At 35.5% G+C, this 16543-nt stretch overlaps 1 protein-coding gene across 18 annotated transcripts in view; it reads left to right on the forward strand.

Annotated features, from left to right (window-relative positions):
- Window positions 1–16543, forward strand: part of SUGCT (succinyl-CoA:glutarate-CoA transferase) — a 903812-nt gene that overhangs the window by 346844 nt on the left and 540425 nt on the right. For all 18 annotated transcript variants that reach the window (XR_007060157.1, XR_007060158.1, XR_007060156.1 and 15 more), the window contains one exon: window positions 14436–14538. Coding sequence is in view for 15 of the 18 variants with exons in the window: in XM_047420840.1 (XP_047276796.1) it covers window positions 14436–14538 (103 nt within the window). In the remaining 3 variants the exon portion in view is untranslated. The remainder of the gene's footprint in view (window positions 1–14435; window positions 14539–16543) is intronic.

The following is a 16543-nucleotide window of genomic DNA, read 5'->3' on the forward strand; positions in this document are numbered from 1 at the left end:
AACTCTTCACAAAGGGCTTTATTTTTCTGCTTAACTTTTTTCCATAGCAGTTCCACAGATAATACAGATTTTATTCATTTATCTCTCTTTTTGGCAATCTTGGAGATGAGGACTTTTGTCTATTTTGTTCACTGCTGTAACCCTACACAATGCCTTGTATTTACTAGGAATTCAATGAAACTTGTTCCGTGAATAAATATTAAAATGTTTTAAAATGATACATATTTAAAAGATTTCCCTTTCCAAGAATGGATTGTAGTGAAATAAGATCATGTATAGAGCTGTATCTGCAATGATGTTTATTGAAGAAGTACTCAGAAATTTTAGGAAAATAAAATGTAAATATCACAGGTTAGCTCAAGTAACTTATGATAGACCCTTATAGTGAATATTCTTCAGCCATAGTAGGTAACTATTTCTGGACCAGAACATATGACTGGTAAGTTTAAAATGGTTACAAAACATTATGATCATTTTTTAATGTTATAAATATACATTTGTTACAGAATCATGGTATGGAGAAAAGAATAAAAAGTAAACATCCACAATTTATACAAAAATGCTAAAATTATGCATAAACCAAAATTATTTCTATGTGGTAAGGTTATAGTTGATTTTATTTCTTCTTTTCTCTCTGTCGATATTTAAATATTTTTTCTTTAATAATTTGGTATTACTTTACCAGTAGTTCTTCACAAAGAGGTCCTAATTAAAAAGACTTATTTTTTAGTATAAGCAGCCTCTGGTGTGAGGTGTGACCAGACGTCGGTAATGTGGGTAACTTTCCTATATTATGTTTCCATTCACACAGCTTAGGTTGTATGGACGGTCATAGCAATTCTGGTCAGGCCAAACCATTGTAATATGTGATCCACATTTTATTCAGAATCTTTACAAAAAACAGTTTACGTCTGAACTGTGAATGATTAGTATGGACGAGAATTGTTAATGTGTTCATAATAACTGTGAATCTTAATACATTAACCCACATAACTGTTGTTTTTAAGAGCAAGTTATATGGAATGTACTGAGCCATCTTGAGATTGAAAGCAGTGCCTAGATTCCTTGTTGGACTCTTACTCCATCTTTTGTGTGGCCTGCAAATTGACATGCAGACAATGGAGAGCTCATAAATGCTAGGGGGAGAAAAGATAACTTTAACCATAATTTATCAGTAATATGTAGAGATAATTCCTAAGAGGAAATAAGATCTGAGGAAATTACAGGAAATATTAAATCTGTGATTCTGTTTACGGTAGAAATGCCGACCAACAAATTCCAGCTGTTTCTCTGTGGGTTACAGAAGTGTCACAGGCCTGTTTATAGTTACTGAATTGTAGACTCGAGGCTGGATCTTACAGAGCCTTGTTGGTTTGATTTGGATTTACTCAGATTTGTCCAAAGGGACATTTCGTATAGGTAATGCATGTATGGAATGCACCCCTGTACCAAGTTTTTGTTCCTAAAAACTTCTTCTTCTCTAGTGTCTTCTGCTTCCCTGCCAACAGTTTGCCTCCCCACAAATGTTAGTGTAGTTTTGTTTATTTAACACTTATATAGCACTTACTTGTACTGTGCACTGTTCTGAATACTTTCAAAGTGTTAATTCATTTAACTTATCATAATAAGCTTATGAGATAGGCACTATTTTTTAAACCAACACAAAAGCAAAAACCTTGAAGGACAAGAGTAATAATTTGTGGAATTAAAGTAGCTCCTATATGAAAAAGGTAATTAAAAGAGAAGCTATAGTCCAGGAGAAGAAATTTGTAATTTATGTAACTGATAAAGGATTTATTTCTAGACTAGTACAAAATTCCTGTAAGTCCATAAGAAGACAGTTTCACTGAAAAAAAAAAAAAGAATAAAACAGGACAACCCTCAACATCTGATGACCCTTAGTCCCATGAAAAGATGCTTAATTTCTCCAACTGTGGGAACTATAAATAACCATGAGATATACCATGCTCCCTCTATCGGACAATAGCAAAAGTTGGTGAGAATATTGAGCATGGTGGAAGTAGTGAATGGCATCAATTACTTTAAAGTGCAATTGGGCAAAATCTAATACAGCTGAAAATGTGTCTAGTTTCTGACTGAGAGGCTCTGCTTCTTTCTCTGTCTACCCTTAGGAAATCACTGATAAGTAAATGATATTTACTGTTACTATGCAGTGTGCTAAGCAATTTACAACTACTATAATTTCCTTAGAACAAATGAGAAAATTGGAGCTCAGAGAAATTAAGCAACTTGCCCATGGTCACAAAAGTAGATTAAGATTAAATGTCAGACTTATCTTCTCAATGAATTTTATTTATTGATTTATTGATTATCTTCTATATAAGGCAGCAGTGTGTAGTGAGATGGGCTATGGGCCTGGAGTGTACAGACTTGAATGTGAGTATCTTAATACTTCAATTTTTCATATTCCAAATAGGAAGCATTTGTCTTTTCTCACAGCATTCTTGAAAGAATCAGTTCATAAAATCGTTGCCAATATTATGAGACATTTTGGAACCATTGGGTTGATCAGTGGTTAGTTGGAAAGAAGTCAGGGATGGGTAGAGCCCAGGCAACACTCCCAGTGCTCCCAAGTGGCCTTGGGGGCGGACAGTAGCTCAATTGCCAGTGGCCTAAGGGTGGTCCTATATCTTAGAGTTTGTTTGCATTTTTGTTAATATCTAATGAGTCTACCCTACTGAATGAACCTAGAGAAATACCAATTCAAGATCTCCTCCAGCTAAGAGATTTGAGCCTTCAGATCCAGACATTGCCCTATCTACTTCTCTAAGCCTCAGTTTCCTAAATCATGAAGATCATAAAACTCATGTCATAGGAGGACTAGAAATAGTATTTCTTGTGGTGCCTGGTACATAAAAGGCTTCAGTTAATGTAGCACTAAGATACTGTATTTTAAAAACCTACTGCCTTTTTAAGCCCTCTGTGGGACTGGCCTTTAGCACCACATCACTTACAGAGCTTTGTGTGGTCTACTTTCATGAACTTCACCACCAGAAGTCAAGCAGTAGAAGGTGGTGATTAACACATGAGCATTGGACCCAAGATAGAATTTCTGCTTGGTGCATAATGTTTACGTGAATTTAAAAGGTAACTTAAATTTTCTAAACCTTGATTTGCTTATCTTTAAAGTGAACATAATGATGGTATTAATACTTACCCCACAGGATGTTGGAAGAATTAAGTGAAGTAATGTGTACTAGTAGCTTAGCACAGAGCCTTGCATTTACTAAATGCTTAATAAATGGTTCATTTTTAAAAAGTTAATCTTAATTAGTTAAGATTTTTATGAAGATCCTATTGATAATTGGGCTTGTGACTCTAACCCAAATCTATTCAAAACTCATGTGTATTGTAGCACACTTCCTGTGTTTGTTTGAAGACTTCCAGTAACCTGACTGCCTGTGAATTTCCTATTATTAGTAATATTTTTAATATACATCAGACAATGACTTTGAAGGAATGTAGAAAACAATGGAATTTTATTTTCAAATATATGTGTCTGTCTATATATCTAGATAATATAGGTATATATATATCTATATACATTCTTTTTTTTTTTTTTTTTTTTTTTTTGGAGACTCGGTCTTGCTCTTTCACCCAGGCTGGAATGTAGTGGCATGATCATGGCTCATTGTAGCCTCAACCTCCCAAGCTCAAGTGGTGCTCTCACCTCAGCCTTCCAAGTAGCTGGACCTACAGGCAGTCACCACCATGCCTAGCTAATTTTTGTATTTTTTGTAGAGAATGGATTTTGCCAGGCTAGCCTCAAACTCCTAAGCTCAAGGGATCCTCTTGCCTTGGCCTCCCAAAGTGCCAGAATTACAGGCATGAGCCACTGTGCCTGGTCTCATGTATACCTAATTTGTGGAGGGTTTTTATCATGAAGGGATGTTGAGTTTTGTCAAATTTAGTCAAATGCTTTTTCTGCATCAAGTGAAATGATTATTCTGTTAGTGTGATGTATCAGGTTTATTGACATACATTAGGTTGAACCATCTTTGTATCCCTGGGATAATCGTTTTAATATGCTGTTGAACTCCATTTGCTAGTATTTTGTTGAGGACTTTTGCATCTATGGTCATCAGGGATATTGGCCTGTAATTTTCTTTTATTTTTGTGTTTTTGTCTGGTATTGGTATCAGAGTAATGCTGGCCTTGTAAAATGAGTTTGAAAGTATTCTTTCCTCTTCAGTTTTTGGAAGAGTTTGAGAATAATTGGTATTTGTTCTTTAACTGTTTTGTAGAATTCAGCTGTGAAACCATCAGGTCCTGGGCTCTTCTTTGATGGCAGACTTTTTATTACTGATATTGTTTCATTATAATTCAATTATGGTAGGTTGAGTATATTTAGGAATGTATCTGTTTCTTCTAGGTTATCCAATATGCTGGCACATGATTGTTTGTAATAATCTCTCATGATCATTTGTATTTTGTGATGTCAGTTGTAATGTCTTTTTAAATGTTTTTGGATTTTATTTATTTGAGTCTTCTTCTTTAAAGAACTTGGACCCCTCAATGATTTGTTGAGTTTATCTTTTCAAAAGCCAATTCTTTGTTTTGTTGCTTTTTTATTTTTATTTTTTGTAGTTCCTATTCATTTATTTCTGCTCTGATTTTTAATATTTCCATTGATTTATAATTTTGGGGTTGGTCTGTTTTTGCTTTTTTAGTTCCATGAGGTGCATGATTAGATTGTTTATTGTTAATCTTTTTACTTTTTGATGTAGACACTTACTGCTATAAACTTCCCTCTTAGTACTGCTTTTGCTGTGTTTCATAGGTTTTGGTATGTTGTGTATCCATTTATATTCACGTCAAGAAATTTTATAATTTTTCTTTCATTTTTCTTCCTTCCTTTTTTTTTTTTTTCAATTGAAGTGAAGTCTTGCACTGTTGTCCAGGCTAGAATGCAGTGGTATAATCATAGCTTACTATAACCTCAAACTCCTGGGCTAAAGCGCTCCTCCTGCCCCAGCCTCCTTGTACTATAAGCAAATTCTACAAATTCTACCACACCTGGCTAACTTTTTTTTTTCTGTAGAAATAGGGTCTCACTATGTTTCCCAGGCTGCTCTTAACTCTTGTTAAGGAGCATGTTCAGGAGCATGTTGTTTTATTTCCATTTGTGAATTTTCTAAAGTTTCCGCTATTACTGATATCTATTTTTATACTATTTTGGTCAGAAAAGATAGTTCATATGATTTCAATCTTTTTTTTTTTTTTTTTTTTTTTGACACAGAGTTTCACTGTTGTTGCCCAGGCTGGAGTGCAATGGCACGATCTCGGCTCACTGCAATCTCCACCGCCCAGGTTCAAGTGATTCTTCTACCACAGCCTTCCAGGTAGCCGGGATTACAGGCATGTGCCACCACACCCAGCTGTTTTTTTTTTTTTTTTTTTTTTTTTTTTGTATTTTTAGTAGAGAAGGGATTTCACCATGTTGGCCAGGCTGGTCTCGAACTCCTGACCACATGAGATCCACCTGCCTCAGCCTCCCAAAGTGCTGGGATTACAGGCGTGAGCCACCATGCCTGGCTGAATCTTAAATTTTTTAAGACTTGTTTTGTAGGCTAATATATGATCTGTCCTGGAGAATATTTTACATGTAGTAGAGAAGAATGTGTTGGATGGAATGTTCTACATATATATATTTCCATTTGGCCTAGATCATTATTAAGTCTAATGTTTCCTTGTTGATTTTCTGTCTAGATGATATGTTTATTTTTTAAAATGTCATATTAAAATCTTTTACTACTATTGTATTGCCGTTAATCTCTCCTTTTAGAACTATTCATATTTACTTTATGTATTTAGGTGTTCTGATTTGGGTACATATGTATTTACAATTGTTATGTCCTCTTGCTGAAGTGACTCCATTATTATTATATAAGGTCCTTCTCTATTGTCTTTACAGTTTTTGCATTAAAGCCTATTTTTTTCTGAGTCTAGGAACTCTTGCTTTCTTTCGGTTTTCAGTTGTGTGCAATATATTTTTCCATTCCTTCACTTTCAGTCTGTGGGTATCCTTAAAGATGAAGGGAGTCTCTTCTAGTCAGCATACTACAAGAGAAAGAAAAGAAAACCAACTGGTTTTTCTTTCCTTTTACTTTTATTTATTTATTTATTTTTAATTCATTCAACTACTCTGCTCTTTTTTTTTTTGGAAGAATTTAATCCAACAAATTCGATGTACTTACAGATAGGTATGGAGTTAATACTGCCATTTCAGTCATTGTTTTGTAGTTGTTTTGTAGATTCTTTTTCTTTTCTTTCTCTCTTGCTGTCTTCCTTTGTGGTTATTTGAATTTTTTTCTAGTAGTATGTTTTAATTTCTTGTTTTTTACTTTTTGTGTATTTTTTCTTTGTGAATACCATGAAGTTTACAAGAACTTATGATTTTTGTAATAGTTATAGCACGTAACAATAGTTATAGCACATTATTGTAGTTAATAACAATTTTTGATTGCAACAACAAAAAACTCTACATTTTCACTTCACTCCCTCTTCTCCACATGTTGAATTTTTGATGTCACAACATTCATCACATTACATTCCATATTCTTTAACGAATTATCATAGTTGTTATTGTTTTTAATAGTTTTATCTTTTAACCTTCATTCTAAAGATATAAGTAATTTACACACCATCATTACCATATGAGTATATTCTGAATTTGATTGTGTACTTACTTTTATCAGTGAGTTTTATACTTCAGATTTTTCATATTACTCACTCATGTCCTTTTCTTTCAGCTTGAAGAACGATCTTTAGCATTTCTGGTAAGGCAGGATGGATTTCCTTAGCTTTTATGTGTCTAGAAAAGTCTTTATTTCTCCTTTATTTCTGAAGGATAACATGCTGGGTACAGTATTCCTGGTTGATGGTTATTTTCCTTCCATGTGTTAAATATATCATCTCACTCTCTCCTGACCTGTAAATGTTTCTGTTGAGAAATCTTCTGCCAGGTGTATTGAAAGTTGCTTATATGTTAATTGCTTCTTTTCTCTTGTTGCTTTCAGTATCCTCTCTATGGTTTTGATATTTGACAGTTTGATTATAATATATATTTGGTTAGCCTGATTTTGATGAAATCTGTTTGGAGATCTTTGATTTTTCCATGAACAAATATTTATATCTTTCTCCAGGCTTGGGAGGTTTCCTGCTGTTATTTCTTTAAATGTGGTTGTACCCCTTTACCTTTCTCCACTCTCTTGAATGCCAACAACTGCTCTTTTAATGTGGTCTCATACCTCCATTAAGCATTCTTCATTTTTTTTTCTTTTTCTCCACTGCCCGTATATTTTCAAATAATCTGACTTTGAATTCACAGATGTTTCTTCTACTTGGTTAATTCTTTTTTTAATGTTCTCTATTGCAGTTTTTTTTTTTTGGGGTGGGGTTCACTTCATTTTCACCTCCAGGATTTGGGATTTTTAAAAATTATTTTAATTTCTCTGTTACATTTCTCTGATATTTGTTTCTCTGTATTTTCTTTAAGTTCACTGAGCTTCCTTAAAACTGCTATTTTGGGCCAGGCGTGGTGGCTCACGCCTTTAATCCCAGAACTTTGGGAGGCCGAGGCAGGAGGATCACCTGAGGTCAAGAGATAGAGACCATCCTGGACAATATGGTGAAATCCCATCTCTACTAAAAATACAAAAATTAGCTGGATGTGGTGGTGCATGCCTGTAGTCCCAGCTGCTCAGGAGGTTGAGGCAGGAGAATCATTTGAACCCAGGAGGTCGAGGTTGCAGTGAGCCAAGATCACACCACTGCACTCTAGCCTGGTGACAGAGCGAGACTCTGTCTCAAAAAACAAAACAAAAAACAAAAAACAAAAACAAACAACAGAACAAAACAAAAAACACACACACACACAAACTGCTATTTTGAATACTTTGTCATGCACTTCACTGATCTCTATCTCTTCAAGGTCAGTCCCCAGCACCTTATTTTGTCCGTTTGGTGATGTCATGTTTCCCTGATTGTTCCTGATCCTTGTGGTTGTGTTTTGATGCCTGTGAATTGAAGGAGATATTTGTTACAGTCCTCACCATCTGGTTATGCCTAGTAATGTTCCTCAACAGTAAACCTGTCCAGAAATCTTGAGCAGACCCACTGTAGTGGTCCCAAAGCCTATGATCACTATAGCTATTGCAGCACTAGAAGGAGCTCTAAGCCCAGGACAACCATGGCCAGTGCCACCCAGGCTTGAGTTCCTTGACTTATACAGCTGGTACAGAAGCTGTCTGGAATCAATCTGAGGAAGACTCAATGAGAGCACCAGCTTTGTGTGGAGGCTGTTCGTGGGTTCAAGCCTGGAAGACCTGTGGTCTGTGTTTCCTGCAGCATAATGTTTTTGGCTAGTTTCTCTTGTGTGGTACCTTCACTGGCCAGAATGCAGAGCAACCACCAGGGTTTGTATATTTGTTGCTATGAGCTCCAACCCTGTGCTTTGTTTCTAACTGAGCCTAGGTGGTCTAGCCCTGCTGGTACTCTCAAAATTTCTCATGAGATCTCGGAATGGTGGGGAACCTGAATGTCTGCTTTGAGTTCCACTTTTCCCACTGCAGAAATTGTGAATGTAGGGCAATTCACAGTGTGTGGTGCTGTTTTGGCTTGGGAGAGAAGTGACAGGGCCAGAGAATTGTTCTTCTTACCATTTCATTACAGTTTTTCTCAGTTTTTTGGTGCAATAGGATGTCTCAGCCTCTCAAGTCCTTGAATATTCAGACTGGTACTTTTGCCTGATGTTAGTTACTAGTTGGATTTCTTTGTGGAGGAGTTCAGCTATACAATGCCTATTCCTTCATCTTGCTGCTGTCACTCTAAAAGAATGGATTTTTAAGGTCATTTGAATTCCTGAGATCTTATGACTCTGGAAAGTATAGGAAGTCCCTAAATTGAAACATGATGTTTTAAGCATTTTTATGTTAGTCAGTTTTTGAAATGTGAATTTTTTTTCCCTAAGACATACTGCAAGATTTTCTGCAAGACATACAGAATTTAGGGACTGGTCTCAAAGAAAAATTAAGAGGAGATGCTGTGCTATTCCATTTTAATCTAAGAGTCTCAAATTGTCGTCCTTCTCTCAGTGTCTGGGTCTGATTAAACATAGTCTTTCCAAGGTTTTAGGAGACAATTATGTACCACATTAATTCAAACTAATGTCACTGAGAGACTCTTATTCTTTCCAAATCATCATATATTCACTCATTCAGCAAATACTGAGTGCCAGTTATCTTCTAATTACTGTGTAAATGGCAGTCAAGTAACAGTCTGTTTTTAGTGTGAGAGAAGATAGTGGTACTGGGGAAGGAGACAGTCAAACAGACTTGAGATACAACTAACATTGGTGACTTTTTGGAAGGAGGAATATTGGAGGCAATATGTTTTTAACCAGATATTGCTATAGTCTGGGTGTGCGGAATCAAGGGCCAGGACTGTGATAGTTACAGTGCGAATGGAGGAGTAGTTGATTCTATAAGGCAATTGTATCTAAGTTGTAAGAAATGATGAAAAGGAAGGAGTTCCAGGTTTAGCCAAGGGTGTGAGTTCTGGCAAGTGAGGAATCCTAGGTTTATGAAGGAAATGGAAATCATAAAATCTTCCGTGGTCATGATATCATGGGGATGCTAATGCATCTGAATGGAATTATCCTATGATACTTAGAAAAAGGGAACTAGGGAAAAAAAGGTCTGGGCTGGTAATATGGATTTGGATGTCATCTGCATAGAGATGACAAGATGGCTTAGGTGAGTAAAAGAGAACAAAGAGTACTGGGAGTGTCAAAAAAAAAAGCACAAATATCCAAAGCAGTATTTAGAGAACCAAGGGAGGGCCGGGTGTGGTGGCTCATGCCTGTAATTCCAGCACTTTGGGAGGCCAAGGCAGGAGGATCACCTGAGGTCAGGAGTTTGAGACCAGTCTGGCAAACATGGTGTAACCTGTCTCTACTAAAAATACAAAAATTAGCCAGGCGTGGTGGTGGGCACCTGTAATCCCAGCTATCTGGGAGGCTGAGGCTGGAGAATCGCTTGAACCTGGGAGGTCGAGGTTGCAGTGAGCCGAGATTGCACCACTGAACTCCAGCCTGGGCGATAGAGCAAAACTCTGTTTCCAAAAATAAATAAATAAATAAATAAATAATAATCTAGGAAACCAAGGGAGAATGGTGTCACAAGAACTCCAGGTAGAATAGTTAACATCATCAAATACTACATAGTGATGTAGTGTGACAACCATGAAAAGAATATTGGATTTGACAAATGATCACTGGAGACCTTTCGAGACTGGGTAAGAAAAGGCATTCATGACCAAACCAGATTTCAGAGGCTCGGGAGTGATGGTGGATTGAAAACAGATATATAAGAGTAATTAAAAGGGTTAGGAATGTCTAGAAAACAATTTTTTTTTCAAATGGGAACTTGTTTTTGTTATTGATAATAATATGGAAGATACTACTAATCAGCAGATTTTGGATGCATCAGAGGCAAAGCGTATGTTGCCTCCTGTCAAGTTTCTCATCTACGTCAGCCATACATCTCTAGTCTCACCTACATCAGCCCATTGTCCGCATCAGTGCTGAGTAGGTCAGTCCCCTGCCTAAAGACCTCTCTGGGTTCCTTGTTGCAAGAAGAAATCCAATATTCTTAGCACAGCAGACAAGTTGCTTTGCATTCTGGTTCTAAACTCTCTGTCACATTTCATCTTCTGCCACTTGGGGCACGGGAGATTTCAGATTCTTTCCAAGTTAGATCTTTGTATATATTGCTCTCTCTACCTGGAAGAGCCTTTCTCTCATCTTTCATATGTCTAATTCTAACTTGTCTTTCAACACTTGGCTCAAATATCGCGTTGTTTTTGAACGCTTTCCTGCCTCCGTGGGTCCAGTGCAAGTCTCCCTCTTTGTTGCTTCAACCATAAGTTGTTTCTTCGTAACTTTGTTTCAGCATCCTGCATTGTAATTCATCTATTTTCATAGCTGTGTTCTCCATTAGACTATATGAACTCTTAACACAGGGACGGTCTTTTTTATTGCAATCTCCATGGCAGATGCAAAACAAACTCTTGCTAAAAGCATCGGGAATGAATGTGTATCAATGTAATAATATATACTGAGGTATATACGATAGAAGTGAAGAAGCATATTATTAGTGCAAAAAATGAACAGTTTCACCTCTGCTCCTTCATTTTTTAGCTGTGACCATATATAATGAATAAAATATGTGAAGCTATGCATTCTGAGTGTATTCTGCTACAGTCATTATGTGTTAGAACGTGGTTTTGGAGTTAAGCAGTCTCAGCTTTAAACATGACATCTGACTCTAAAAGCTGAATGAATTTGAGCAAGTTAATTTCTCTGAACCTGAGTTTCCTATTGGTCAAATGAGGATAATACTGTATAGTGTGGTTGTGAAGATAAAATTGACAAAATATAGACTAAACAATTTAATAACCAGCATTTCGTTGTCACTAATGTCACAATTATTTCCAACTCTCACCTTCATGACTGAGATCTCTTGTTAGTTTCTGTCTGGTCTTGTATTTGTCTCATTTGCAACTTTAATTCATTTTATAAAGAGAAAAATGTTTCATTTCTTAAGTGGAATGTTGATGTTAGGAAATTTAACATCAGCTGTGCTTCACCTATCTAAATGATACCATTTGATTCATAATACTCATTCCCAGTATTAAGTGAATTTACAAAAATCTAGAATGAAATATATGTGTTGATTTAGTAAGTTGCCAATTAAATTTGAATTGTTTGTGAGTCTCCAAATAATTTCCCAGTGAAGGCCCTAGGTTCACTTGCTAAGCTGGATCTGAGGACATTCTTTTTGTCTTATCTTCTGAAATCTATTGCCCTGAGTGATTTAGATCAGCTTTTTAAATTTTTTTTAGCAGAATTTTTGTGGTTAATAAAAACATGTGCTTACAGCTTTTTGCATAAAGGATTCCACATCCGATTTAGATCAAGAGATAGATTTTTAGAAAAAAAATGATGGATATGTCCTCTGAGAGCAGTGGAATGCAACGATGTTCTGTCTCTCTCTGATTGAGTTCATGGCATTTCAGAACCCTTCCACACCCACACCCACGCAAAGACGCAAACAGTGGTCACAACTGCAGCTCCCGCAGTCTCATTTCCAGAGTGCATCCATTGTTTTCCATAACATGAAATAAATCCCTCTCTTTTGCCCAGTGGTGAAAAGCTTATATAAATACTAAAACTTCAACTATTCCCCTGAGTTTTCTGTTGGCTAACCTGCAGCCATGGGTTGTTTGGATATTGACATGCATTTTCTGTGTAGATCTTTCAGGCCACTTTGGTGAGTCCAGTGGTGATAAATTCTGTTGTCTTGAAAATTTATCAGGCTAACTGTTTTAACACTCCATTTATGAAAACTTAAGTAATTGACACCCTATTCGAAAAGGCTGCAGGTTCAAAGTATCTCTTTTATTCTTTCAGCATATATCATTTTGATGATATTTATCTATATATATTTTAGGAGGCCTTGGCCAGGAGATGACTGGAACAGTCATTGAAAAGAAAGTAAGAATGTAAAGAATTGATTAGAGCCCAAACATTTAACCTTGCATTGTTATTCTTATGAAAGATTTTTTAAAACTATATTTAGAAGTGAAGTATTTTATTGTATACCAAATAGGGGTAGTTAACATTAGTGGGCTGAAATTAAAATGTATAATAAAAAATCCTTATCCATCAAATTGGAGAGAAAATGGAAGGCATATACTTAAAAACAAAAATCAATACTTGGTGTATAGTGGGCAATCAGTAAATGAATGTGTGGATAGGATTGATTAGACTCCTAGTGAAATGTAATACTACCTTTATAAAAAATATTTATTATATCCTTAAGTAAAAACTTATATGATTGAACATCATTGTTCATATAGTAGCCTTATTTTGGAACATACATTTATTCCATTTTTTTCTTTTTATTTCTCGTTTTTCATTTCTTCTCTTACATAGCAATCAATGAAGTGTACTTCAGTATTGAAATTATTCTTTTTGTTTGTTTGTTTGTTTTTTTGAGATGGAGTTTTGCTCTTGTTGTCCAGGCCTGGAGTGCGATGGTGCGACCTCACTCACTGCAACGTCTGTCTCCTGGGTTCAAGGGATTCTCTTGCCTCAGCCTTCTAAGTAGCTGGGATTACAGGCACCCGCCACCATGCCTGGCTAAATTTTTGTATTTTTAGTAGAGACAGGGTTTCACCATTTTGGTCAGGCTGGTCTCGAACTCCTGACCTCAGGTGATCCACCCACCTTGGCCTCCCAAAGTGCTGAGATTACAGGTGTGAGCCACCACGCCCGGCTGAAACTATTTCTATGCTTTTTTTTTTTTTTTAATGGTGAAAGAAGTAAATTTAATACATTTTCCTCTGGAGTCTGCAGATTTGAAGCTAATTCTAGCTATGTACAGGAGAACTGAAGGGAAGTCCATGAATACTCTACTATTGTTTCACTAGCCCTTTCATATTAGTAAAACATTTTAGTCTACTTTGGCTAATATTTTAAAAATGTCTCTTTGGTTACCTAGATTATTAATTAATTAAAACAGGTTTGATATTTTAATAATCAATAATTCTGAAATTCTTCATACCTTAGAAACTAATTGTGTTGTGGTGTCCCTATAGATCCAAGATTTTATTTCTGTGTTCACTGTTTTTACAGAGAAGAAATATAAAACAATAAATCTCATAAATGTGTTAGCTTCCCTTCCTTGAGACCTATTAGAGAAAATAAAGAAAATCCATGTGCTTTTCTGTCTATGAAGTCCAATTTTAAATTATAGTAGAAATAAAACAGACAAAGGATTTGGATGAATTTGAGTTTTGTTGGTTAAACTGAAATATCACTCTTTGCATGTCTTGAGTTGTGCTGGTTAGTAAATCACAGTGCAAAGGTTGTTTGTAGGCCAATGGTTGTGACCATTAATTTTTGTGTACTTTTCCCAAAGCTTTCTTAAAACAGCTATATTAGTATTTTTTTTGTTTTGAAGAATAATATATCAGTGCCTATCCTAACCCGATTTCCACTACCTGAGACCTAAAAGACATATTGCCCAATGACTTCACGCTCAAAGTACAATGATATTATTATTATTAAATTCATAAATTGCTCAGAGAGTTCATAGCAATAGAAATAGGAAGAATTACATCTCTAAATGATGGATTTTTAAACACTAGCACCTGGGTGGCTACTCTTATCCACCACAGGGCCACTCAAGTCATTTCATACAGACAACCTTCTCTCAAATGAGGTGTAAAGAAAGACTAGGAAACATAGTTTTATGACTATTGCTTGCTTTCAAAGAGGGCCACATGATAGAAGAGGCTGTGTTACATTCCTTCCTGTGTAAAAAATTTATCCTTGTTTGTCTTCTTAGGTTTGAAGAAGAACTGACCAGCAAGTGGTTATATCTTTTTGAAGGCAGTGGAGTCCCGTATGGCCCAATCAACAACATGAAGAATGTATTTGCAGAACCTCAGGTTTGTTTTTGAAGTTTAACAACGCCTCTGTTTTCTGTCCAGATTGACTTATATCAAGGTACCTTTGCCATTGATCGCAAGCTTAAGTCACATGATGTGAATTTTCACCATCATATTAAAATTGTTTGTGGGTCTGAGATAAAAAGAACCAGAACTTAGAAGTGCCTGTCCATAAGCATACTTATGTCTCTGTTAGATTTAATATACTGTATTTCTTCATCAGCCACTACATGAAGTTTCTGTGGCCAGGGTATTTAATTTTCCTGAAAAACAGAAATATACACAATTGAGATATTGGGGTTGGGTACTCAGAGACTATTCTTTGTAGGAAGAAATATGAGAACTTTCATACCTCTGATCATATGATTATCTTAAACCTCTGATCATATGATTATACCTCTGATCATATGATTATCTCTCTGATCATATGATTATCTTAAAATGTACAGAGCAAGTCATATTTAATTCTGCAGATGAGAGGACTTTGTTTGCTTTGATGAATATGTGTTATTTGTAAGGCATAAATTTTACACAGATAGATATTTGTGCTCTACGTTGCTTATCAGGCTCCTTTTTGGGCTCCAGGAACAGGGTCACCTGAAAATATATTTACTTTATAACATTGTTCAAGTGATTATTTTTAGATTATGTGAAAATAATGTTTTGATTTTATTACTTCAATCAAAAAACTACAAGCAATTTACCATTTCTCAAATTCATCCATCGATCCCCAAAAGTACAGGGAGTCCATTTTAAAGCTTTCACTATGATTATTCAACTGTCTTGTCAGTTTCCAAAATTCAAAACCATGGGGTATATTTTCTTGGGTTCTTTATATTTATATCGTGGCAGGTTTTTCTTAGAAATAAATTACTGAGCATAGAATACACCTTTTGAGGGAGGAGACCTTTGTTGGAAAACCTTTGGTGCCTTTTATCTTACATGAATATCTGCTTAAAAGAAAATTGAAATATTTTAAATTTAATGGTTACTACATTTACTGGAGAAAAAAAGTGAATGAATTCAGGAATTCTGCTTGTGCTATTTTTTCGGCCAAGATTGTGAATATCTCAAGGCTTTGTTCATGTTAAAACTTTGGTCAATAATGGTCAATAAGTATTTGAGATAAAGGGGCCCATTTGGTGTGTACTATGTGAATTCATCTGAAAGGGACCCCACACCATCAGTGGATTAATGCCTGGTGATTCTTTACAAGGAGGTAGCATTGTGCATACTCTGAATATAGTAGACCAGGGGACTGTTTTTCTCACTTTATAACTTTGAGTGAGGCCAAGCCATCATTTGAAGCTGTCGTGTATTGAGGTGTACGTAGAACTTCATGTTTACCTCAGTTTGAGGGTACATTTTTCTGGAGATATTTCCTAAGAGTTTTTCCATCAGCATTTCTATTGCTCCATCTGTGTTTTATTAGAGATGAAGGCACCAAAGCAAAGAGTTATTTTTAAATAATTATATTATTTAAAAATATATTAAGTATATTCTAACACTACCTATTTTTTAGGCTTTGATAAACAAAGATTTATAATCCCACCCACTATCTTAAAATAATTCACTTTATTGGCTAGCTCAAAGTGAATATAGGATAATTAGGATTTTTATAACTAATTTTCTCTTGTGGTTCAATGTAATTACTTTAATCTTTGCATCTCAATTCTTCTGGAACTACAAAAATTTTTGTTATTGGTCTATGGCATATTTTCAGTCATTAGCCAGTTTCCAAAATGGAGAAAATTTATATTACCTAAGTCAACGTACAAGCTTTTCATACTATTACAAATGTCTCTACAAACTGCCCTGTGTGTAAATTTGTGTAAAACAGATTATTTTTGAAAACCCTCCAGATGACATCTAACTGTGATGACTTAGTTCATTCATTTATTCAACAAACTTATGATATATCCAGTGCTTGTGACTTAGCAGAAACTCAGTACACAATGTGTACCTGCTATTTAAGTCCATTTTGAATTTATTTATTAGAAAGGTA

The sequence above is a fragment of the Homo sapiens genome, chromosome 7, assembly GCF_000001405.40.
Source record: "Homo sapiens chromosome 7, GRCh38.p14 Primary Assembly".
NCBI lineage: Eukaryota > Metazoa > Chordata > Mammalia > Primates > Hominidae > Homo > Homo sapiens.